At 45.9% G+C, this 24,760-nt stretch overlaps 2 long non-coding RNA genes and 14 other non-coding genes across 18 annotated transcripts in view; all 16 read left to right on the top strand.

Annotated features, from left to right (window-relative positions):
- Nucleotides 1-6,183, top strand: part of LOC107985342 (uncharacterized) — a 46,575-nt gene extending 40,392 nt beyond the window's left edge. Inside the window, exon 3 of the long non-coding RNA XR_007067332.1 lies at nucleotides 5,590-6,183. This is a non-coding gene — a long non-coding RNA (uncharacterized LOC107985342). The remainder of the gene's footprint in view (nucleotides 1-5,589) is intronic.
- On the top strand, nucleotides 42-128 carry MIR1283-1 (microRNA 1283-1). Its single transcript, NR_031573.1, has one exon. It is a non-coding gene; the product is annotated as a microRNA 1283-1 (primary transcript).
- On the top strand, nucleotides 2,442-2,526 carry MIR520A (microRNA 520a). The gene has a single exon (NR_030189.1). It is a non-coding gene; the product is annotated as a microRNA 520a (primary transcript).
- MIR526B (microRNA 526b) lies at nucleotides 5,954-6,036 on the top strand. Its single transcript, NR_030190.1, has one exon. It is a non-coding gene; the product is annotated as a microRNA 526b (primary transcript).
- A 590-nt stretch (nucleotides 6,184-6,773) lies between the features above and the next one.
- Nucleotides 6,774-6,854, top strand: MIR519B (microRNA 519b). Its single transcript, NR_030191.1, has one exon. It is a non-coding gene; the product is annotated as a microRNA 519b (primary transcript).
- Nucleotides 6,855-9,093: 2,239 nt separating this feature from the next.
- MIR525 (microRNA 525) lies at nucleotides 9,094-9,178 on the top strand. Its single transcript, NR_030192.1, has one exon. It is a non-coding gene; the product is annotated as a microRNA 525 (primary transcript).
- A 767-nt stretch (nucleotides 9,179-9,945) lies between these two features.
- On the top strand, nucleotides 9,946-10,032 carry MIR523 (microRNA 523). Its single transcript, NR_030193.1, has one exon. It is a non-coding gene; the product is annotated as a microRNA 523 (primary transcript).
- A 1,543-nt stretch (nucleotides 10,033-11,575) lies between these two features.
- Nucleotides 11,576-11,662, top strand: MIR518F (microRNA 518f). The gene has a single exon (NR_030194.1). It is a non-coding gene; the product is annotated as a microRNA 518f (primary transcript).
- A 568-nt stretch (nucleotides 11,663-12,230) lies between these two features.
- On the top strand, nucleotides 12,231-19,870 carry LOC107985346 (uncharacterized). Of its 3 annotated transcripts, XR_001753998.1 has the most exons (5): nucleotides 12,231-12,267; nucleotides 15,659-15,789; nucleotides 16,331-16,406; nucleotides 18,646-18,768; nucleotides 19,830-19,870. It is a non-coding gene; the product is annotated as an uncharacterized LOC107985346 (long non-coding RNA). The 3 variants fall into 3 exon arrangements; XR_001753997.1 differs by lacking the exon at nucleotides 12,231-12,267 and having other exon boundaries at nucleotides 15,519-15,789; XR_001753999.1 differs by lacking the exons at nucleotides 12,231-12,267; nucleotides 16,331-16,406 and having other exon boundaries at nucleotides 15,519-15,789.
- MIR520B (microRNA 520b) lies at nucleotides 12,788-12,848 on the top strand. The gene has a single exon (NR_030195.1). It is a non-coding gene; the product is annotated as a microRNA 520b (primary transcript).
- Nucleotides 14,298-14,380, top strand: MIR518B (microRNA 518b). The gene has a single exon (NR_030196.1). It is a non-coding gene; the product is annotated as a microRNA 518b (primary transcript).
- Nucleotides 17,813-17,897, top strand: MIR526A1 (microRNA 526a-1). Its single transcript, NR_030197.1, has one exon. It is a non-coding gene; the product is annotated as a microRNA 526a-1 (primary transcript).
- Nucleotides 19,014-19,100, top strand: MIR520C (microRNA 520c). Its single transcript, NR_030198.1, has one exon. It is a non-coding gene; the product is annotated as a microRNA 520c (primary transcript).
- Nucleotides 19,871-20,295: 425 nt separating the features above from the next.
- Nucleotides 20,296-20,396, top strand: MIR518C (microRNA 518c). Its single transcript, NR_030199.1, has one exon. It is a non-coding gene; the product is annotated as a microRNA 518c (primary transcript).
- A 2,166-nt stretch (nucleotides 20,397-22,562) lies between these two features.
- On the top strand, nucleotides 22,563-22,649 carry MIR524 (microRNA 524). Its single transcript, NR_030200.1, has one exon. It is a non-coding gene; the product is annotated as a microRNA 524 (primary transcript).
- A 1,179-nt stretch (nucleotides 22,650-23,828) lies between these two features.
- Nucleotides 23,829-23,915, top strand: MIR517A (microRNA 517a). The gene has a single exon (NR_030201.1). It is a non-coding gene; the product is annotated as a microRNA 517a (primary transcript).
- The last annotated feature ends 845 nt before the right edge of the window (nucleotides 23,916-24,760 follow it).

Genomic DNA, 24,760 nt, shown 5'->3' on the forward strand with positions numbered 1-24,760 from the left:
AAAATTCCAACACGAAACCCAGAGTGCTGGAGCAAGAAGATCTCAAGCTATGAGTCTACAAAGGAAAGCGCTTTCTGTTGTCAGAAAGAAGAGAAAGCGCTTCCCTTTTGAGGGTTACGGTTTGAGAAAAGCAGTGTTGAAGTTGATGCTGATCTTGGTAATACATTTGCAGAGCATGCTTATCATCAGACTTGGATGATAGCGGGGTTATGTTTTGGTTTTGTGTTTTTCTAAGACAGGGTCTCCGTTGCCCAGGCTGGAGTGCGGTGGCACTTCCAACCTAGCTCTCTTGGGCTCAAGTGATCCTCTTTTTATTTATTTATGTATTCATTTTTGAGATGGAGCCTGGCTCTGTCACCCAGGCTGGAGTAGAGTGGGATGATCTCCACTCATTGCATCCTCTGCCTCCCAGGTTCCAGAAATTCTCCCACCTCCGTGTCACTAGTAGCTGGGATTACAAATGCTCACCACTATGACCTGCCAGTTTTTGTACTTTTGGCACAGACGGGGTTTCACCATGTTTGCGGGGCTGGTCTCAACTCCTGACCTCAAGTGATCTGCCTCCTTGGCCTCCCACAGTGCTGGGGATTATAGATATAAGCCACCGTGCCCGGCCCATTCCTGTCTTTTTAATTTAATCTGCTCGTCCCTGACATCGAAAATTTTTCTTGCTTAACAGCTTCCACTTATTTCTCGGAATAGACCTTTTTCTGCAGGAAGGGTGTAGTTGATTCAACCCTCACCCACTCATGCCAACCGTAGTGAGTGCTGTGACTGCAGCTGCACTGTTTATCCTGTTTTCTGCAGGTAATTTTTCCAGTGTACCATTCCAACCTGCAAAACCTCACATTTAAATGCAAATTTCTTGGTAAGCTGTGAAATGTTGGCTGTGGCTAATATGAGAAACAAGCTATTATAGACAAGATGAATCTCAGTTGCAGTGATAAATGTCACATGGGACAAAACCACAGATACTTTCACAAAAACCTTGAGGACCCTAGAAGGGCCTCCCTAGTAACAGGTGGGATGCGCATCCGCTCTTGTTGCCATAGTGAGTGATGCCTGTTCGTCCAGCCCTCAACACCTTTCACTCCGTGGAAGTTATGCCTGCACTGGTTTACAGAACCTCCCTTGACTTGACTTGAGGTAGAGTTGAAGGGAACCTCAGTGTCCCTTGCAGATGGGATGTGCATTGCTTCGCAAGAGCACAGAGGTGGAGTGCATGGGCTTTGAGTTTTTATTGGGTAAATGAAGCTGAAATACAGGGTGTATGACCACGTTATCAACGCACACTTGATTTAGGTTTTGTATTTTAGAGACGGGGGTGTGAGCTGCCAAAGCAAGGACTTATGTGTAGGAATTATTCTTTCTGTGAGCATACAGTATATGGAACTTTCTTTCTTTTGAGACAGGGTCTCAAAAATATATGATGTATGGCCAGGTGCGGTGGATCACGCCTGTAATCCCAGCAGTTTGGGAGGCCGAGGCGGGTGGATAACCTGAGATCAGGAGGGCGAGACCAGACTGGCCAACATGGTGAAACCATGTCTCTGCTAAAAATACAAAAAATTAGCCAGGGCTGGTGGCGCACGCCTGTAGTCTCAGCTACTCCGGAGGGTGAGGCAGGAGACTATCACTTTGAGTGTGTGTCTTTGTGTGTGTGTGTGTGTGTGTGTGTGTGTGTGTATGTGTTTCTAGTTTTTACAAGACACAGCCTGACTATATCACCGAGGCTGGAGTGCAGTGGTGCAATGTTGGCTCACTGCAACCTCCACCTGCCACCGCAGCCTCCTGAATTAGTGTCTACAGGTATGCACCACCACACCTGGCTCACTTTTGTATTTTTTGTACAGATGAAGCTTCACCATGTTGCCCAGGCTTGTCTGGAACTCTTGAGCTCAAGTGATCCTCTCACTTCGGCGTCCTGAAGTGCTGGGGTTAGAGATGTGAGCCACCGCACCCAACAGGTACTTGTGTATTTTTTTATTGAGGAGCTTTTACAGCGTAGCCTGTGGTCTCTCCTGGAGGATGTTTGTGTGTGCGACAATGTACATTCTTCAACATCTTAGATTCCATTTTGGATGCCCCCATGGGTACTACATGTGCCTATACTGGAACTCAAGTGAACACTTGGCTCAAAATCCATTGCTGTTCTCTAGAAATTCAGTTCGATTCTCTTGGTTAAAGATAAGGTATGAGTAGTAGGCATTGCTTTTTCTCTTTGGGGGCAAAACTCAGGAGGATTGCCCCTTGATGAACAAGGCTAACCTGCTGAGCCTTTGAAAGAAGGAACTGGAGATGGTCCTTTTAGGGGGTTTATATTCTGGATTCCAGAAAACATGCAAACAGGGCCAGGAAAAATGCATCTTTATTTTTGTGTCCATTTAAACCTGGTCAAGGAAAATTCCAACAATAAACCCAGAGTGCTGGAGCAAGAAGATCTCAGGCTGTGACCCTCCAGAGGGAAGTACTTTCTGTTGTCTGAGAGAAAAGAAAGTGCTTCCCTTTGGACTGTTTCGGTTTGAGTAAAGCAGCGTTGAAGTTGATGCTGATCTTGGTAATACATTTGCAGAGCACGCTCATCATCAGACTCGGATGATGTTGGGGTTCTGATTTTGTTTTTCTCCAAGACAGGGTCTCTGTTGCCCAGGCTGGAGTGCAGTGGCAGTTCCAACCTAGCTCTCCTGGGCCCAAGAGACCCTCTATTTATTTATTTATTTATTTATTTATTTATTTATTTATTTATTCATTCATTCATTTAGAGATGGAATCTGGCTCTGTGACCCAGGCTGGAGTGCAGTAGGACAATCTCCACTCACTGCAACCTCCATCTCCCAGGTTCCAGCAGTTCTGCCACCTCAGCCTCCCATGTAGCTGGGATTACAGGCGCCCACCACCATGTCATGCTAATTTTTGTATTTTTAGCAGAGATGGGGTTACACCATGTTTGCTGGGCTGTTCTCAACTCCTGACTTCAAGTGATTTGCCTCCCTGGCTTCCCAAAGTGCTGGTATTACAGGCGTGAGCCACTGTGTCCGGCCTCAAGTGGTCTTCCTGAGTCAGCCTCCCAAGTAGTTGGGATTACATGGGGCGTGACACAACACTTGGTTCAGCTTTTAATTTTTGGTAGAGATGGGGTCTCTGTTGCTCAGGACGGTCTCAACTCCTGAGCTCAAGCGATCCTACAGGTGTGAGCCACCTTGTCCTGATGACCCATTTCAAAGATAGTTGACTTGGCCAGGCATCATGGGGCACACAGTCCCAGTTACTGCAGGGGCCGGGGCGGGAGGGTGCTTTGATTTTAAGGCTATACCGTGCACAGATCCCACCTTTGAATAGCCACTGCACTCCAGCCTGGGCCAACATAGCAAGATCCCATTTCTTTAAAAACAGATTACATAGCACCTGGTCCCACAGATTTCATTTGGGTTGGTCATGTCATACAATGGCCTCCCATCAATTTAGTATAATCAATCCAAACCATGGTTCCTTCATTAAGAGAGTGGGTAATCCTCCAAGTCCATCCAGTCTATTCTGTAATCCCCAGTGGGTGTCCGTATTGATACAATTTCTTTTTGTTCCTGTTCACTCGTGTCTTTTTAGTGTAATCTGCTTGTCCGTAACACTGAAATTTGTTTTTCCCCAACATCTTGCCATCATTTCTCGGAATAGACCTGCTTTCTCTGCAGGAAGGGTGTAGTTGATTCAACCCTCACCCACTAATGCCAACCCCAGTGAGTTCTTTGACTGTAGCTGCCATGTTTATCCTATTTTCTTTGGGTAACGATTCCAAGGTACCATTCCAATGGGCTTAAACCTTGCATCTAAATGCCAGTTACTTGCTAAGATGTCAAATGTGTCTTATATTAGCTGTGGCTAATATAAGAAACTGTTGTAGACAAGATGAATCTCAGTCACAGTGATAAATGTAGCATGCAACAAAACCAGTTGTTTTCACAAAAATCTTGAGGACCCTAGAAGGGGCTCCCTCGTAACAGGTGGAATGCACAGCAGCTCTTCTTGTTGCCATAGTGAGCGATGCATGTTCTTCCAGTCCTCAACACCTTTTATTTATTTATTTATTTATTTATTTATTTTATTATTATTATTTTTTTTTGAGACAGAGTCTCGCTCTGTCACCCAGGCTGGAGTGCAATGGTGTGATCTCAGCTCACTGCAACCACTGCCTCCCGGGTTCAAGCGATTCTCTTGCCTCAGCCTCACGTGTCGCTAGGACTACAACCGTGCACCACCACGCCCGGCTAATTTTTGTATTTTTAATAGAGACAGGGTTTTGCCATGTTGGCCAGGTTGGTCTGGAACTCCTGACCTCAGTTGGTCCACCTGCCTCAGCCTCACAAAGTGCTGTGAATACAGGTGTGAGCCAACACGCCCGGCTATCAACAACTTTTCCTACGTAGAAATTATTCGGGCACTGGTTTATAGAACCTCACGTGGGTTCACGTAGAATTGAAGGGGACCTCAGCGTCCCTTGCAGATGGGATGTGCAATGTATTTGAGATGTACTCGAACATTGCTGTTGAGGTGTGGGCATCTTTTGCTTTTTCCTAATTTTAAATATGGGACTAGTCTGGGTATGGTGACTTCCACCAGTAATTCTAGCACTTTGGGAGGCTGAGACAGGAGGATCACCTGAGGTCAGTTGTTCGAGACCAGTCTGGCCAGCATGGTGAAACCCCGTCTCTACTAAAAATACAAAAATTAGCCGGGTGTGGTGGCACTCACCTGTAATCCCAGCTACTCGGGAGGCTGAGGCAGGAGAATCACATGAATCTGGGAGGCGGAGGTTACAGCGAGCAGAGATCACACCGTTACACTCCTGCCTGGGCAACAGTGTGAGACTCTGTCTCTAAATAAATAAATAAATAAAAATAAAAATAATTAGGTGAATATGGGACCAGCATGGACTTGGGTGTCGCCTTTGTGCAGTGGCCAGGATATTCTATGTCATTTAAATTTTTTTATGTGTACTTCCAAAGCAAGCAGTTATGTATAGGAATTATTCTTCCTATAAGCATGCAATATTTGGAACTTTCTTTGAGACAGGGTCTCAAAAATACATGATGTATATTTCATTTTATATTCTTATATATTATGTACACACAAAATACTCTTCTAAACACAGAGAATACTCCGATATCACCTAGGGTGTGTGTGCGTGTGCGTGTGTGTGCGTGTGTGTGTGGTTCTTTTCTGAGACAATATCTGCCTCTGTCACCCAAGATGGAGTGTGGTGGTGCAATCTCGGCTTACTGCAACCTCCACCTCCCACCTAAGCCTGCTGAATTAGTCTCTACAGGCATGCACCACCACACCTGGCTAACTTCTGTAATTTTTGTACACATGGGGTCTCGCCATGTTGCCGGGGCTGGTCTCGAGCTCCTGAGGCAGGTGATCCTCCTGCCTGGGCCTCCTAAAGTTCGAGGAGTTAGAGGTCTGAGCCACTGGGCCCCACTTGTACTTGTGTATTTCTGCTCAAATTTTATTGAGTAGTTTTTACATCCTAGCCTGTGATCTACTCTGGAGAGTGTTTGTGCATATGACAGTGTATATTCTTCAACATCGTAGACTCCATTTTGGATGCTCCCTTCGTGACTGTGGGTCCTGTACTGGAACTCGAGTGAACACTTGGCTTAAAATCCATTGCTGTTCTCCAGAAATCCTGCCCAATTTTCTCGGTTAAAGGTACGTGTAGTAGGCATTGCTTTTTCTCTTTGGGGACAAAACTCAGGAGGATTGCCCCTTGATGAACAAGGCTAACCTGCTGATTCTTTGAAGCAAGGAACTGGAGATGGTCCTTATAGAGTTTTATATTCTGGATTCCATAAAACATGCATACAGGGTCAATAAATGCATCTTTATTTTTGTGTCTATTTTAACTTGGTCAAAGAAAATTCCAGGAAAAAATCCACGGCATCAGAGCAAGAAGATGTCAGGCTGTGACCCTCTTGAGGGAAGCACTTTCTGTTGTCTGAAAGAAGAGAAAGTGCTTCCTTTTAGAGGCTTACTGTCTGAGAAAAGCAACGTTGTAGTTGATGCTGATCTTTGTAATATCTTTGCAGAGCACGCTTATAATCAGACTTGGATGATGTTGGGGTTTTGTTTTTCTTTTGTTTTTTTATCTAAGACTGGGTCTCTGTTGCCCAGGCTGAAGTGCAGTGGCACAATCTTGGCTCACCACAACCTCCGCCTCCCGGGTTCAAGTGATTCTTCTGCCTCAGCCTCCCAAGTAGCTGGGATTATAGGACTGCGCCACCATGCCTGGCTAATTTTGTATTTTTAGTAGAGACAGGGTTTCTTTAGGAGCTTTTAAGGCCTCCCTTGTAGTCTATCCTGGAGGATGTTTGTGTGTGCAACAATGTATATTCTTCAACATGGTAGATTCCATTTTGACTGCTCTAATCAGGACTGTGTGTCCCTGTGCTGGAAATCAAGTGAACACTTGGCTGAAAATCCACTGCTGTTCTCTAGAAATCCAGCCCAATTCTCTTGGTTAAATATAAGGTATGCATAGTAGGCATTGCTTTTTCTTTCTGGACACAAAACTCAGGAGGATTTCCCCTTGATGAACAAGGCTAACCTGCTGAGCCTTTGTAGGAAGGAACGGGAGATGGTCTTTTTAGGGGTCTATGTTCTGGATTCCAGAAAACATGCAAACAGAGCCAATAAATAGGTCTTTATTTTTGTCTCTATTTTAACCTGGTCAAGGAAAATTTCTACAAAAAACCCAGGGTGCTGGAGCAAGAAGATCCCATGCTGTGACCCTCTAGAGGGAAGCGCTTTCTGTTGTCTGAAAGAAAAGAAAGTGCATCCTTTTAGAGGTTTACTGTTTGAGGAAAGCAACAGTGAAGTTGATGCTGATCTTGGTAATACATTTGCAGAGCATGCTTATCATCAGACTTGGATGATGGTGGGATTCTGTTTTTATTTTGTTTTTTTTTCTAAGACAGAGTCTCTCTTGCCCAGGCTGGAGTAGGGTAGCACTTCCAACGTAGATCTTTTAGGCTCAAACGGTCCTCTTTTTTTTTTTTTTTTTTTTGAGGCGGAGTCTTGCTCTGTGACCCAGACGAGAGTGCAATGGCGCGATCTTGTGTGCAAGCTCACCTCCTGAGTTCAAGCAATTCTTCTGCCCCAGCCTCCCAAGTAGCTGGGACTACAGGTGCCTGCCACCACTTCCAGCTAATTTTTGTATTTTTAGTAGAGACAGGGTTTCACCACGTTGGCCAGGCTGGTCTCAAACTACTGACCTCAAGATCCACCCACCTCAGCCTCCCAAAGTGCTGGGATTACAGGCGTGGGCCATTGTGCCCAGCGGTCCTCTTTTTTGAGATGGAGTCTTGCTCTGTGACCCAGGCTGGAGTGCAGTGGCAGGAACTTCGCTCCCTGTACCCTCCACCTCCCAGATTCAAGCCATTCTCTCCTGAGTCAGCCTCCCTAGTAGCTGAGATCGCAGACATGAGCCACCATACCCAGCTAATTTTTGTATTTTTATTATTTATTTATTTACTCATCGATTTTTGAAACAGAGTCTTACTCCGTCCATCAGGCTGGAGGTCAGTGGCACAATCCCACGTTCAAGCAATTCTCCTGCCTCATCCTCCCGAGTAGCTGGGATCACAGGCGCACACCACCACGCCCGGCTAATTTTTGTGTTTTTTTTGTTTGTTCGTTTTTTTTTTTTTTGTAGAGACAGGGTTTCAACATGTTGGCCAGCCCAGTCTCCAACTCCTGACCTTAAGTGAGCCCATACACAATCAAGAAGAGAGCGAGACCTGTTCTTTTTTTCTGTCTTTGACTATTTGAGACAGTCTTGCTCTGTCACCCGAGATGGAGTACATTAGTGTGATCTTGGCTCACTGCAACCTCTGCCTCCTGGACTCAAGCAATTCTCTTTTTTTTTTTTTTGGAGAAAGAGCCTCTCTGTGTCTCCCAGGCTGGACTGCAGTGGTGTGATCTCAGCTCACTGCAACCTCAGCCTTCCAAGTAGCTGGGATTGCAGACATGTACCCCCATACCAGCTATATATATATATGTATTTTAGACACAGTTTCACCATGTTAGCCAGGCCATTCTTGAATCCTGACCTCAGGTGATTTGCCGACGTAGGCCTCCCGAAGTGCTGGGATTACAGGTATGAGCCACTGCACTCAGCCTTTTTTCCTAATTTTGAATATGGGACCCATTATGAATTTGGGTGTCACCTATGTGCGGGGGCTATGGAAATCTCTGTCACCCCATTCATTTGTGTGTGCTGTCAAAGCACCAATATGTGGGAATTATGCTTTATGTGAGCATATAGTATATGGAACTTTGGTTTTTTTTTATACAGGGTCTCAAAAAAAAATGAGTATATTTCATCACAATGTTCTGTGTATAATTCCATACACACAAAATAGTCTTCTATACACAGAGAACACTCTTATATCACTTTGGAGTTGTTTTTGTTTGTGTATTTTGTTTTAATTTTTATGAGACAGGGCCTGGCTATGTCGCTGAGGCTGGAGGGCAGTGGTGAGATCTTGGCTCACTGCAACCTCCACCTGCCACCTCAGCCTCCTGGATTAGTGTCTACAGGCAGGCACCACCACCCCTGGGTAAGTTCTGTATTTTTGGTACTGATGAGGTTTCAGCACGTTCCACAGGCTGGACTCTTAACTCCTGCGATCAAGTGATCCTCCCGCTGTTCAAATTTTACTGAGGAGCTTTTAAGGCCTCGCCTGTGGTCTGTCCTGTAGTGTCCCTGTCCTGGAACTCAAGTGAATACTTGGTTTAAAATTGATTGCTGTTCTCTAGAAATCCAGCCCAATTCTCTTGGTTAAATATAAGGTATGTGTAGTAGGCACTGCTTTTTCTTTCTGGAGGCGAAACTCAGGAGGATTGCCCCTTGATGAACAAGGCTAACCTGCTGAGCCTTTGAAGCAAGGAACTGGAGATGGTCGTTTTAGGGGTTTATGTTCTGGATTCCAGAAAACATGGAAACAGGGCCAATAAATGCATCTTTATTTTTGTGTCCATTTTAACCCAGTGAAGGAAGATTTCAACCAAAAACCCACGGTGCTGGAGCAAGAAGATCTCAAGCTGTGACTCTCCAGAGGGATGCACTTTCTCTTATGTGAAAAAAAAGAAGGCGCTTCCCTTTAGAGCGTTACGGTTTGGGTAAAGCAACGTTGAAGTTGATGCTGATCTTGGTAATATATTTGCAGAGCATGCTTATAATTAAGACTTGGATGATGGTGGGTTTCTGTTTTGTTTTTTGTTTTAAATCAGAGTCTCACTCTGTCACCCAGGCTGGAGTGCAATGGCGCAATCTCGGCTCACTGCAACTTCCCCCTCCTGGGTTCAAGTGATTCTCCTGCCTCAGCCTCCTGAGTAGTTAGGATTACAGACATGCGCCACCTCACCCGGCTCAGTTTTTGTATTTGGTGGAGATGGGGTTTCACCATGTTAGTCAGGCTGGTCTTGAACTCCTGATCTCAGGTGATCCACCTGCCTCAGCCTCCCAAAGCATTGGGATTACAGGCGTGAGCCACCACGCCAGGCCTGTTCAACATCTTAGATTTCATTTTGGATGTTCCTGTGAGGACTGCGTGTCCCTGTGCTGGAACTCAAGTGAACGCTTGGCTCAAAATCCATTGCTGTTCTCTAGAAATCCAGCCAAATTCTATTGGTGAAATATAAGGTATGTCTAGTAGTCATTGCTTTTTCTCTTTGGAGACAAAACTCAGGAGGATTGCCCCTTGATGAACAAGGCTAACCTGCTGAGCCTTTGAAACAAGGAACTGGAGATGGTCCTTTCAGGGGTTTATATTCTGGATTCCAGAAAACATGCAAACAGGGCCAGTAAATGCATCTTTATTTTTGTGTTCATTTTAACCTGGTCAAGGAAAATTGCTACAAAAAACCCAGGGTGCTGGAGCAAGAAGATCTCATGCTGTGACCCTCTAGAGGGAAGCGCTTTCTGTTGTCTGAAAGAAAAGAACGCGCTTCCCTATAGAGGGTTACCCTTTGAGAAAAGCAGCATTGAAGTTGATGCTGATCTTGCTAATACATTTGCAGAGCATGCTTATCATCAGACTTGGATGAAGGTGGGGTTCTGTTTTTTTTTTTTTTCTAAGACAGGATCTCTGTTGCCCAGGCTGGAATGTGGTGGCACTTCCAACCTAGCTCTCTTGGGCTCAAATGGTCCTCTCTTTTGGGATAGAGTCTTACTCTGTGACCCAGGCTGGAGTGCAGTGGCGTGATCTCAGCTTACTGCCACCTCCACCTCCCAGTTTCAAGCCGTTCTCCTGCCTCAGATTCCTGAGTATCTGGGATTATAGGTACCTGACACCACGCCTGGCTAATACTTGCATTTTTCTTTCTTTTTTCTTTTCTTTTTTTTTTTTTTTTTTTTGAGATGGAGTCTTACTCTGTCACCAGGCTGGAGTGCAGTGGTGCGATCTTCGCTTATTTCAACCTCCGCCTCCCAGTTTCAAGTGATTCTCCTGCCTCAGCCACCCGACTAACTAGGATTTCAGGCATGCACCACACGCCTGGCTAATTTTTTGTATTTTTAGTAGAGACAGGGTTTCACCATGTTGGTCAGGCTGGTCTCGAACTCCCGACCTCTGGTGATCTTCCCGCCTTGGCCTCCGAAAGTGCTGGGATTGCAGGCATTAGCCACCCCGCCCGGCCATTATATATTCTTATATATATAATACCATATACGTGCAAAATACTCTTCTACATGAAGAGAATACTCTTATATCACTTTGGGGTTTTTTTTGTTTGTTTGTGTGTGTGTGAGTGTATGTTTTATTTGTTTTTGGATAAGGTCTGGCTCTGTCACCCAGTCTAGAGTGCAGTTGTGCCATCTCTCTCAGCTCACTGCGACTTCTACCTCCCACCTAAGCCTGCTGAATTAGTGTCTACAGGCATGCACCACCACACCTGGCTCCGTTTTGTATTTTTTATACACATGGGCTTACACCATGTTGCCGAGACTGGTCTCGAACACCTGAGCTCAGGTGATACTTCAGTTTCAGCCTCCTAATGTGCTGGGATTAGAGGTGTGAGCCACCGTGCCCCACTTGTAGTTGTGTGTTTCTGTTCAAATTTTATTGAGGAGTTTTTAGGGCCTAGCCTGTGATCTACCCTGGAGGATGTTTGTGTGTACAACAATGTATATTCTTTAACATCGTAGATTCCATTTTGGATGCTCCCATCGGGACTGTGTGTCCCTGTGCTGGAACTCTGGTGAACACCTGGCTCAATATCCATTTCTCTTCTCTAGAAATCCAGCCCAGTTCTCTTGGTTAAATATAAGGTACATATGTCTATGAGGCATTGCTTTTGCTCTTTGAGAACAAAACTCAGGAGGATTGCTCTTTGATGAACAAAGCTAACCTGCTGATCCTTTGAAGCAAGGAACTGGAGATGGTCCTTTTAGGGGTTTATATTCTGGATTCCAGAAAACATGCAAACAGGGCCAATAAATGCATCTTTGTTTTTGTGTCCATTTTAACCGGGTGAAGGAAAATTCCAACAAAAAACCCAGAGTGTTGGAGCAAGAAGATCTCATGCTGTGACCCTCTAGAGGGAAGCACTTTCTCTTGTCTAAAAGAAAAGAAAGCGCTTCTCTTTAGAGGATTACTCTTTGAGAAAAGCAACGTTGAAGTTGATGCTTATCTTGGTAATAAATTTGCAGAGAATGCTTATAATCAGACGTGGATGATGTTGGTGTTTCATGTTTGTTTTGTTTTGTTTTTAATACAGGGTGTCTGTTGCCCAGGCTGGAGTGTGGTGGTCCCTCTCCAACCTAGATCTCTTGGGTTCAAGTGGCCCTCTTTTTTGGGTCAGAGTCTTGCTCTGTGGCCCTGGCTGGAGTGCAGTGTCAGGATCTCTGCTCACTACAACCTCTGCCTCCTGGGTAAAAGCGATTCTCCTGCCTCAGCCTCCCAAGCAACTGGGATTACAGGCATGTGCTACCATGCCCGGCTAATTTTTGTAATTTCCTTTATTTATTTTTGAGACAGAGTCTTACTCTTTCGCCCAGGCTGGAGTGCAGTGGTGCAATCTCGGCTCACTGCAACCTCCAACTCCCACCTCAGCCTCCTGAATAGCTGTCTACAGGCATGCACCACCACACCTGGCTAACTTTTGTATTTTTTGTACAGACATGGTTTCTCCATGTTGCCTGGGCTGGTCTTGAACTCCTGAACTCAAGTGATCCTCCCACCTCGGCCTCCTAAAGTGCTGTGATTAGAGGTATGAGCCACCGTGCCCCACCTGTACTTGTGTGTTTCTGCTCAAATTTTATTGGGGAGCTTTTATGGTATAGCCTGTGGTCTCTCTGGAGAATGTTTGTGTCTATGACAATGTATATTCTTCAGTATGTTATGTTCCATTTTGGATGCTTGCATGGGGACTGTGTGTCCCTGTACTGAAACTCAGGTGAACACTTGGCTCTCCGTCCATTGCTGTTCTCTAGAAATCCAGCCCAGTTCCCTTGGTTAAAGATAAGGTATGTCTAGCAGGTATTGCTCTTTCTCTTGCAGACAAAACTCAGGAGGATTGCCCCTTGATAAACAAGGCTAACCTGCTGATTCTTTGAAGGAAGGAACTGGAGATTGTCCTTTTAGGGGTTTATATTCTGGATTCCAGAAAACACACAAATAGAAAACAGGGCAAATAAATGCATCTTTCTTTTCGAGTCCATTTTAACCTGGTTAAGGAAGATTCCAACAAAAAATCCACGGTGCCACAGCAAGAAGATGTCAGGCTGTGTCCCTCTACAGGGAAGCGCTTTCTGTTGTCTGAAAGAAAAGAAAGTGCTTCCTTTTAGAGGGTTACCGTTTAAGAAAAGCAACGTTTAGGTGGATGCTGATCTTGGCAATAATACATTTGCAGAGCATGCTTATCATCAGAGTTGGATGATGGTGGGGTTCTGTTTTTTTGTTTTTTTTTTTCTGAGACAGAGTGTCTATTGCCCAGGCTGGAGTGCAGTGGCACTTTTAACCTAGATCTCTTGGGCTCAAGTGGTCCTGTTTTTTGGGATAATCTCACACTGTGACCCAGTCCGGAGTACAGTGGCATGAACACCACTCATTGCATGCTTTGCCTCCCAGGTTCAAGTCATTCTTATGACCCAGCTTCCAGAGCAGCTGGGATTACAGGCATGAGCCACCACACTGGCTAATTTTTGTATTTTTAATAGAGATGGGGTTCACCATGTTGGCCAGGCTGGTCTCCAACTACTGACCTCATGATCCACCCACGTCGGCCTTCCAAAGTGCTGGGATTACAGACGTGAGCCACTGTGCCCGGCCAACACAGAGAATACTCTTATATCACTTTGGGGTTGTTTCTGTTTGTGTATTTTTTAAATATTTTTTGAGACACAGTCTGGCGCTATTACCTAGGTTGGAGTGCAGTGTTGTGACCTCGGCTCACAGCAACCTCTACCTCCCAGCTGAGCCTCCTGAGTTAGCATCTGCAGGCATGAACCACAACACCTGGTAACCTTTGTATTTTTGGACACATGAGGTTTCACCATGTTGCCCAGGCTAGTCTTGAACTCCTGAGCTCAAGTAATCCTCCTGCCTCCGACTCCTAAAGTGCTGGGATTACAGGTGTGAGCCACTGCACCCCACCTGTACTTGTGTATTTCTGTTCAAATTTTATTGAGGAGCTTTTACGGCCTAGACAGTAGTCTATCCTGGAGAATGTTTGTGTGTATGACAATGTATATTCTTTTTTTTTATTTTTATTTTTTGGAGACGGAGTCTCACTCTGTCACCCAGGCTGGAGTGCAATGGCATGATCTCGGTTCACTGAAACCTCCGCCTCCTGGGTTCCAGCGATCCTCCTGTCTCAGCCTGCTGAGTAGCTAGGATTACAGGTGGGCGCCTGGCTAATTTAGATTCCATTTTGGATGCTCCCATCGGGACTGTGTGTCCCTATGTTGGAACTCAGGTGAACGCTTGGCTCAAAAATCCATTGCTGTTCTCTAGAAATCCTGCCTAATTCTCTTGGTTAAAGATAAGGTATATGTAGCAGGCATTGCTTTTTCTCTTTGGGGACAAAACTCAGGAGGATTGCGCCTTGATGAACAAGGCTAACCTGCTGAGCCTTTGAAGCAAGGAACTGGAGATGGTCCTTTTAGGGGTTTATGTTCTGGATTCCAGAAAACATGCAAACAGGGCAAATAAATGCATCTTTATTTTGTGTCCATTTTAACCTGGTCAAGGAAAATTCCAACAGCAACATCAAAAAACCAGTGTTGGAGCAAGAATATGTCATGCTGTGGCCCTCCAGAGGGAAGCGCTTTCTGTTGTCTGAAAGAAAACAAAGCGCTCCCCTTTAGAGGTTTACGGTTTGAGTAAAGCAGCGTTGAAGTTGATGCTGATCTTGGTAATACATTTGCAGAGCGTGCTTATCATCAGACGTGGACGATGGTGGGGTTCTGTTTTGGTTTTGTTTTTTTCTAAGACAGGGTCTCCGTTGCCCAGACTGGAGTGCGGTGGCACTTCTACCTAGATCTCTTGGGCTCAGATGGTCTTCTTTTTATTTCATTTTTTTAATTGTTTGAGATGGAGTCTCACTCTGTCACCCAGGCTGGAGTACAGTGGCAGGATCTCCACAACTACAGCCTCCCAGGTTCCAGACATTCTCCCACCTCAGCCTCCCGAGTAGCTGGAATTATAAGCACCCACCGCCATGCCCTGCTTTTTGTATTTTTAGACAAGAAAGGGTTTCACCATATTGGCCAGGCTCATCTCAACTCTTGCCCTTAAGTAATCCTCCTCCCTGGCCTCCCAAAGTGCTGAGATTACAGGCGTGAGCCACCGCGCCCAGCCTCAAGTGGTCCTCTTGAGTCAGCCTCTCAAGTAGTTGGGACTACGTGGGGCGTGCCACCATACTTGGCTAAGTTTTTAATTTTTGGTACAATTGGGGTCTCTTTTTCCCAGGATAGTCTCATCTCCACAGCTTATGTGGTCCTACACGTGTGAGCCACCTCGTCTTGATGACCCATTTCAAAGAGAGTTGACATGGCCAGGCATTGTGGGGCACACAGTCCCAGCCACTGCAGAGGCCAGGGTCGGAGGGACCTTTGATTTCCAGACTGTACCATGCACTGATCACACCTTCGAATAGCCACTGCGCTCCAGCCTGGGCCAACATAGCAAGATCCCATCTCTTTAAAAACAGATTACATGGCACCTGGTTACAGAGGCTCCATTTGGGTTGGTTATTTGAAATGGGTCTCCCATCAATTTAGTGTAATCAATCGAAATCATTTCCTTCATTAAGAGAGTAAGTAGCCGGGGCATGGTGCCTCATGCCTGTAATCCCAGCACTGTGGGAGGCAAAGGCAGGCGGATCGCCTGAGGTCAGGAGTTCAAGACCAGCCTGGCCAATATGGTGAAACCCTATCACTACTAAAAATACAAAAATTAGCCGGGTGTGGTGGCGTGAACCTAGGAGGCTGAGGTTGCAGTGAGCTGAGATTGCACCATTGCACTCCAACCTGGGCGACTGAGCTGGACTTAAAAAAAAGGTAAGTAAGCCTTCAAGTCTATCCAATCTTAATTTGTAATCTCAAATGGATGTCCATATTAACAAAATTTTCTTGTTTTTCCTGTTTGTGTCTTTTTAGTTTAATCTTCTTGTCCTTGACACTGAAATTTTTTTCTCTCCAACAACTTGCCGTCGTTTCTCGGAATAGAGCTGCTTTCTCTGCAGGAAGGGTGTAGTTGATTCAACCGCCACCCACTCACGCCAGCCCCGGTGAGTTCTTTGACTGCAGCTTCCCTGATTATGCTATTTTCTTCGGGTAATGAACCCAAGGTACCTCGCATTTAAAGGCTAGTTGCTTGGTAAGCTGTGAAATGTTGGCTGTGGCTAATATGAGAAACAAACTATGGTAGACAAGATGAGTCTCAGTGGCAGTGATAATTGTCACATGGGACAAAACCACAGATACTTTTCACAAAAACCTTGAGGACCCTAGAAGGGCCTCTCTAGTAACAGGTGGGATGCGCCGCAGCTCTCGTTGTTGCCGTAGTGAGCGATGCCTGTTCGTCCAGCCCTCAACACCTTTTACTCCGTGGAAGTTATGCCTGCACTGGTTTACAGAACCTCCCTTGACTTGGGTTGAGGTAGAGCTGAAGGGAACCTCAGTGTCCCTTGCAGGTGGGATGTTCACTACGTAGCAAGAGCACAAAGGTGGAGTGCGTGGGCTTTGAGTTTCTATTGGGTAAATGAAGCTGAAATGTAGGGCACATGAGCACGTCATCAATGTACAATTGATTTAATTTTTGTATTTTAGAAACGGAGGTCTCGCTATGCCGCCCAGGGTAGAATGTGCTCTCTCCCTCTCCTCTTCCTAGTATCTGGGACTACAGGTGAATATTTTAATCTATGCACAGGCAAGAAGAGGGCAAGGAGGGTTCTTTTGTTCTGTCTTTGACTTTGTGAGGCAGTGTCACTCTGTCACTCAAGCTGGAGTGCAATAATGTGATCTCGGCTCACTGCAACCTCTGCCTCCTGGGTTCAAGCAATTTTTTTTTTTTTTTTTTTTTGAGTCAGTATCTCACTCTGTCCCTCAGGGTGGAGTGCAGCGGCCCAGTCTCTGCTCCTGCAACTTCTGACTCCCAAGTAGGTACAATTGCAGACACGTGTCACCACGCTTGGCAAAATTTTTTTTGTATTTTTAGAGCTGGGATTTTACCTTGTTGGCGAGGCTGGTCTGGAACTCCTGACCTCAGGTGACTCGCCCACCTTGGCCTCCCAACAAGTTATGCTGATCTTGGTAATAACTTCGCAGAGCGTGCTTCCATCAGACATGGAGGATGGTGGGGTCCTGTTTTGTTGTTGTTGTTTTTCTAAGATAGGGTCTCTTGCCCAGGCTGGAGTGTGTTGGCACTTCCAACCTAGGTGTCTTGGGCTCAAATGGTCCTCTTTTTTCGGACAGTCTTGCTCTGTGACCCATGCTGGAGTGTAGTGACGTGATCTCAGCTCACTGCAACCTCCACCTCCCAGTTTTAGGCAGTTCTCCTGCCTCACATTCCTGAGTAGCTGGGATTATAGGTGCCTGACACCATGCCTGGCTAATATTTGCATGTTATTTATTCATGTATTTATTTGTTTTGAGATGGAGTCTCACTGTCACTCAGGCCAGAGGGCAGTGGCAGGACCTCGGCTCACTCAAACCTTTGCCTCTCAGGTTCAAGCAAGTCTTCTGCCTCAACCTCCTGAGTAGCTGGAATCACAGGCACCCGTCACCACGCCCGGTTACTTTTGTATTTTTTTTTTCACCATGTTGGCCAGGCTGGTCTGAAACCCCTGACTTCATGTGAGCCGCCCGCCTCAGCCACCCAAAGTGGTGGGATTACAGGCATAAGCCACTGCGCCCGGCCAACAATGTATATTTTTCAACATGGGAGATTCAGTTTTGAATGCTCCCATCGGGACTGTGTGTCCCTGTGCTGGAACTCAAGTGAACGCTTGGCTCAAAATCCATTGCTGTTCTCTAGAAATCCAGCCCAATTCTCTTGGTTAAATGTAAGGTATGTGTAGTAGGCAATGCTTTTTCTGGAGACAGAACTCAGGAGGATTGTCCCTCGATGATCTAGGCTAACCTGCTGAGACTTTGAAGCAAGGAACTGGAGATGGTCCTTTTAGGGTTTTATGTTCTGGATTCCAGAAAACATGCAAACAGGGCCAATAAATGCATCCTCATTTTTGTGTCCATTTTAACCTGGTGAAGGAAAATTCCAACAAAAAACCCACAGTGCTGGAGCAAGAAGAGCTCAGGCTGTGACCCTCTAGAGGGAAGCACTTTCTGTTGCTTGAAAGAAGAGAAAGCGCTTCCTTTTAGAGGATTACTCTTTGAGAAAAACAACATTGAAGTTAATGCTGATCTTGGAGATCATGCTTATAATCAGACTTGGATGATGTTGGGGTTTTGTGGGGTTTTTTTGGTTTTTTTTCCTAAGACAGGGTGTCTGTTGCCCAGGCTGGAGTATGGTGGCCCCTCCAACCTAGATCTCTTGGGTTCAAGTGGCCCTCTTTTTTGGGACAGAGTCTTGCTCTGTGACCCTGGCTGGAGCTCAGTATCAGGAACTTTGCTCACTGCAACCTCTGCCTCCCAGGTTCAAATGATTCTCCTGCCTCAGCCTCCCGAGCAGCTGGGATTACAGGCATATGCCACCACGCCCAGCTAATTTTTGTATTATTGTTATGTATTTATTTTTTAACTTATTCATTTTAGAGACAGAGTCTCACTCTGTCGCCCAGGCTGGAGTGCAGTGGTGCGATCTCGGCTCACTGCAACCTCCAACTCCCAGCTCAGCCTCCTGAATAGCTGTCTGCAGGCATACACCACCACACCTGGCTAACTTTTGGTTTTTTTGTACAGATGTGGTTTCCCCATGTTGCCCAGGTTGGTCTCGAACTCCTTAGCTCAGGTGATCTTCCACCTTGGCCTCCTAAAGTGCTAGGATTAGTGGTGTGAGCTGTTGTGCCCCACCTATACTCGTCTGTTTCTGCTCAGATTTTATTGAGGAGCGTTTACAGGGTAGCCTGTTGTCTACCCTGCAGGATGTTTGTGCCTACAACAGTGTATATTCTTCAACATCTTAGATTCCATTTCGGATGCCCCCATGAGGACTGTGCGCTCCTGTACTGGAACTCAAGCGACCACTTGGCTCAAAATCCATTGCTATTCTCTAGAAATCCAGCCCAATTCTCTTGGTTAAAGATAAGGTATGTGTAGTAGGCATTGCCTTTTCTCTTTGGGAACAAAACTCAGGAGGATTGCCCGTTGATGAACAAGGCTAACCTGCTGATTCTTTGAAGCAAAGAACTGCAGATGGTCCTTTTAGGGATTTATGCTCTGGATTCCAGAAAACATGCAAACAGGGCAAATAAATGCATCTTTATTTTTGCGTCCATTTTAACCTGGTCAAGGAAGATTCCCACAAAAAATCCACAGTGCCAGAGCAAGAAGATCTCAGGCTGTCGTCCTCTAGAGGGAAGCACTTTCTGTTGTCTGAAAGAAAAGAAAGTGCTTCCTTTTAGAGGGTTACCGTTTGAGAAAAGCAACATTGAAGTTGATGCTGATCTTGGTAATACATTTTCAGAGCATGCTTATCATCAGAGATGGATGATGGTGGGCTTCTGTTTTTGTTTTGATTTTTTCTTTTTTTTTTTTTTGAGATGGAGTTTCGTTCTTGCTGCCCAAGCACTAGTATGTAGGAATTATTCTTTATGTGAGCATATAGTACATGGAACTTTGTTTTTTTGAGACAGGGTCTCCAAAATATATACATGTTATCATATAATCTTCTATGTATAATTATATTCACACAAAATAGTCTTCTGCACACAGAGAATACTCTTATATCACTTTGGGGTTGTTTTTGTTTGTGTATTTTTTTTTTTTTTAATTTTTTTTGAGACACCATCTGGCTCTATTGCCCAGGCTGGAGTGCAGTGTTGTGACCTCAACTCACTGCAGCCTCTACCTCCCACCTCAGCCTCCTGAATTAGTGTCTACAGGCATGAACCACTACACCTGGCTATCTTTTGTATTTTTACAGATGAGGTTTTACTATGTTGGGCAGGCTAGTTTTGAACTCGAGCTCATGTAATTTTCCCGCCTTCGACTCCTAAAGTGCTGGGATTAGAGGTGTAAGCCACTGCACTCCACCCGTACTTCTGTACAAATGTTATTGAGGAGCTTTTACGGCCTAGGCAGTGCTCTATCCTGGAGAATGTTTGTGTGTAAGACAATGCATATTCTTTTTTTCTTTCCTGTCACCCAGGCTGGAGTGCATTGGCACGATCTCGTCTCACTGCAACCTCCGCCTCCCGGGTTCAAGCAATTCTCCTGCCTCAGCCTCCTGAGTAGCTGGGATTACAGGTGGGCACCACCACGCCTGGCAAATTTAGATTCCATTTTGGATGCTCCCATCATGACTGTGTGTCCCTGTGCTGGAACTCAAGTGACCATGTGACTCAATCCATTGCTGTTCTCTAGAAATCCACCTCAATTCTCTTGGTTAAAGGTAAGGTATGTGTAGTGGGCATTGCTTTTTCTCCTTGGAGACAAAACTTAGGAGGATTCCCCTTGATGAACAAGGCTAATCTGCTGAGCCTGGAGATTGTCCTTTTAGAGGTTTATGTTCTGGATTCCAGAAAACGGTCAAACAGCGAATAAATGCATCTTTATATTTGTGTCCATCTTAACCTGGTCAAGGAAAATTTCAACAAAAATCCCAGATGGCTGGAGCGAGAAGATCTCATGCTGTGACTCTCTGGAGGGAAGCACTTTCTGTTGTCTGAAAGAAAACAAAGCGCTTCTCTTTAGAGTGTTACGGTTTGAGAAAAGCAACGTTGAAGTTGATGCTGATCTTGGTAATACATTCGCAGAGCATGCTTATCAGGCTTGGATGACGGCAGGGTTCTGTTTTGGTTTTATTTTTTTCCAAGACCAGTCTCTGTTGCCCAGGCTGGAGAGGGAGGGGTTGCACTCCAAACTAGATCTCTTGGGGTCATGTCTTGCTCTATTATTATTATTAATTCTTATTTTTGTGTGTGTGTGAGACGGAGTCTCGCTCTGTCACCAGGTTGGAGTCCAGTGGCGGAATCTCAGCTCACTGCAACCTCCGACTCCGTGGTTCAAGCGATTCTCCTGCCTCAGCCTCCTGAGTAGCTGGGATTACAGGCACGCACCGCCATGCCGAGCTAATTTTTGTATTTTTAGTAGAGACCGGGTTTCACCACGTTGGCCAGGATGGTCTCAAACTCCTGACCTCATGATCCACCCGCCTCGGCCTCCCAAAGTGCTGGGATTACAGGTGTGAGCCTCCGTGCCCAGCCTGTTATTTTATTTTGTTTTATTTTATTTATTTTATTTTATTTTGAGATGGAGACTGGCTCTGTCGCCCAGGCTGGAATGCAGTGGCAGGATCTCCACTCACTGTAACTCCCACCTCTGTCGCCCAGGCTGGAGTGCAGTGGCAGGATCTCCACTCACCGTGGAGTTCCAGTGATTCTTTCACCTTAGCCTCGCAAATAGCTGGTATTACAAGCACCCACCAACACACCCTGCCAATTTTTGTATTTTTAGACAAGAAAGGGTTTCGCCATGTTGGCCAGGCTGGTCTCGACTCCTGACCTTAAGTGATCCACCTCCCTGGCCTCCCAAAGTGCTGGGATTACAGGCGTGAGCCACCACGTCCAGCCTCAAGTGGTCTTCTTGTCAGCCTCGCAAGTAGTTGGGCTCAGGTTTTAATTTTTGGTAGAGATGGGGTCTCTTTTGCCTGGGATGGTCTCAGCTGAGCTTAAGTGATCCTAAATGTGTGAGCCACCTTGTCCCATTTCAAAGATAGGTGACACGGCCAGGCATCCTGGGACACACAGGGTCCCAGTTACTGCAAAGGCTAGGGTGGGAGGGTCCTTTGATTTTAAGGCTATACCATGCACTGATCACACCTTTGAATAGCCACTGCACTCCGGCCTGGGCCACATAGCAAGATCCCATCTCTTTAAAAACGCAGATTACATGCCATCTGGTTCCTGAGGCTCCATTTGGGTTGGTCACTTCAAATACAGGCCTTTCATCAGTTTAGTTTAATCAATCCAAACCATGTTTCCTTCATTAGGAGAGTAAGGGCCAGGTGTGTAATCCAAGCACTTTGGGAGACTGAAGCAGGCGGATCAGGAGGTCAGGAGTTCGAGACCAGCCTGACCAATATGGTGAAACCCCGTCTCTACTAAAAATACAAAGATTAAGTGGGCGTGGTGGTGCGTGCTTGTAATCCCAGCTACTCAGGAGGCTGAGGCAGCAGAATCTCTTCAACCCAGGAGGCGGAGGTTGCAGTGAGCCAAGATCGCGCAGGTGCACTCCAGCCTGGGCGACAGAGCGAGGCTCCATCTCAAAACAAAACAAAACAAAAAATATAGGCCTCCACATCTATCCAGTCTATTCTGTAATCCCAATGGATGTCAATATTAATACAATGTTCTTATTTTTTCTATTTATTTGTATCTTTTTAGTTGAATCTCCTTGTCCCTGACACTAAATTTTTTTTATTTTTATTTATTTATTTTTTTTGAAACAGTCTTGCTCTGTCGCCCAGGCTGCAGTACAGTGGCGCAATCTCGGCTTACTGTAGCCTCTGTCTCCCGGGTTCCAGTGATTCTCCTTCCCCAACTCCCGGGTAACTGGGATTTTCAGGCACACACCACCACCCCAGCTAATTTTTTTGTACGTTTAGTAGAGACAGGGTTTCACCATATTGGGCAGGCTGGCCTTGAACTCCTGAACTAAGGTGATCCGCCCACCTCGGCCTCCCAAAGTGCTGGGATTAGGGATAAGGCTAACCTGCTTATTCTTTGTAGCAAGGAACTGGAGATGGTCATTTTAGGGGTTTATGTTCTGGATTCCAGAAAACATGCAAACAGGGCCAATAAATGCATCCTCATTTTTGTGTCCATTTTAACCTGGGCAAGGAAAATTCCAACAAAAAACCCAGAGTTCTGGAGCAAGAAGATCTCATGCTGTGACCCTACAAAGGGAAGCACTTTCTCTTGTCCAAAGGAAAAGAAGGCGCTTCCCTTTGGAGTGTTACGGTTTGAGAAAAGCAGCGTTGAAGTTGATGCTTATCTCGGTAATACATTTGTAGAGCATGCTTATCATGAGGCTTGGACGATGGCGGGGTTCTGTTTTGGTTTTGCTTTTTTATTCTAAGACAGGATCTCTGTTGCCCAGGCTGGAGTGCGGTGGCACATCCAACCTAGGTCTTTTGGATTCAAATGGTTTTTTTAGCGGACAGAGTCTCTCTATCACCCAGGCTGAAGTGCAGTGGTGTGATCTCGGCTCACTGCAACCTCCACCTCCCAGGTTCAAGCGAGTCTCCTGCCTCAGCTTCCCAAGTAGGTGAGATTACAGGTGCCCATCACCACACCTGGATAATATTTTCATTTTTTAAAATTCATTTATTTATGTTTTTGAGATGGAGTCTCACTGTTACCCAGGCTGGAGGGCCGAGGCGTGATCTCTGCTCAGTGCAACCTCTGCCTCCCGGATTCAAGCAATTCTTCTACCTCAGCCTCCTGAGTAGCTAGAATTACGGGAGCCCACCACCACACCTGGCTACTTTTTGTTTTTTGTTTTTTGTTTTTTTTTTAGTAGAGATGGGATTTCACCATGTTTGCCAGGCTGGTCTCAAACCCCTGACCTCAAGTTAGCCACCGGCCTCTGCCTCCCAAAGTGCTGGGATTACAGGCATGAGCCACCACGCCTGGCCTAATTTTTATATTTTCAGCAGAGGCGGGGTTTCACCATGTTGGCCAGGCTGGTTGCGAACTCCTGACCTCAGGTGATCTGCCCACCTCAGCCTCCCAAAGTGCTAAGATTACAGGCGTGAGCCACCACACATGGCCATTAACACCTTTTAGTCCATGGAAATTATTCTGGCACTGATTTATAAAGCCTCATGTGGGGTCAGGTAGAGTCAAAGGGGGACCTCAGTGTCCCTTGCAGATGGGATGTGCTCAGCAAGAGCACGGAGGTGGAGTGCATGGGGTTTGAGTTTTCACTGGGGAAATGAAACCAACATCTTGGGTGCATGACCAGGTCATATATGCAGTCATATATGCAATATGCATGGTGGTGGGTGCCTCTAATCCCAGCTACTCAGGAGGCTGACGCAGAAGAATCGCTTGAACCCAGGAGGCAGAAGTTGCCATGAGCCGAGATCCCACCACCGCATCCAGCCTGGGCGGCAGAGTGAGACTCCGTGTCAAAAAAAAGAAGATCTCAGGCAGTGACCCTCTAGATGGAAGCACTGTCTGTTGTATAAAAGAAAAGATCGTGCATCCCTTTAGAGTGTTACTGTTTGAGACAAGCAACGTTGAAGATGCTGCTGATCTTGGTAATACATTTGCAGAGCGTGCTTATCATCAGACTTGCATGATGTCGGGGTTCTGTTTGTGATTTGAAATTTTTCCAAGACAGGCTTTCTATTGCCCAGGCGTGGGTGGATAGCACCTTCCACCAAGATTTCTTGGGCTTAAGTGGTCCTCTTTTTATTTTTTGATTTTTTGAGACACACTCTTGTTTCGTTGGGAGTGCAGTAGCAGGATCTCTGCTCACCGGAAACTCCACCTCTCGGGTTCCAGTGATTCTCCCACCTCAGCCTGCCGAATTGTTGGGAATTCAGGCATCAGGCACCCACCATCGTGTCCTGCACTCTTGCTGCCCATCCTGGAGAGCACTGGCATGATCTAGGCTCACTGCAACCTCCGCCTCCTGGGTTCGAGTGATGCTTCTGCCTCAGCCTCCCAGGTAGTTGGGATTACAGGCACCTACTGCCCCACCCAGCTAATTTTTATGTTTTTAGTAGAGACGGGTTTCACCATGTTGGCCAGGCTAGTCTTGAACTCCCGCTTTCAGGTGATCCACTAGCCTGTGGTCTATCCTGGAGGATGTTTGTGTGTGTGACAATGTATATTCTTCAACATCTTAGACTCCATTTTGGATGCTCCCATCGGAACTATGTATCCCTGTGCTGGAACTCAAGTGAACACTCAGCTCAAAGTCCATTGCTGTTCTCTAGAAATCCAGCCCAGTTCTCTTGGTTAAATATAAGGTATGTGTAGTAGGCATTGCTTTTTCTCTTTAGAGGCAAAACTCAGGAGGGTTGCCCCTTGATGAACAAGGCTAACCTGCAGAGCCTTTGAAGAAAGG

This window comes from Homo sapiens, chromosome 19 (assembly GCF_000001405.40).
Source record: "Homo sapiens chromosome 19, GRCh38.p14 Primary Assembly".
NCBI classification, from domain to species: domain Eukaryota; kingdom Metazoa; phylum Chordata; class Mammalia; order Primates; family Hominidae; genus Homo; species Homo sapiens.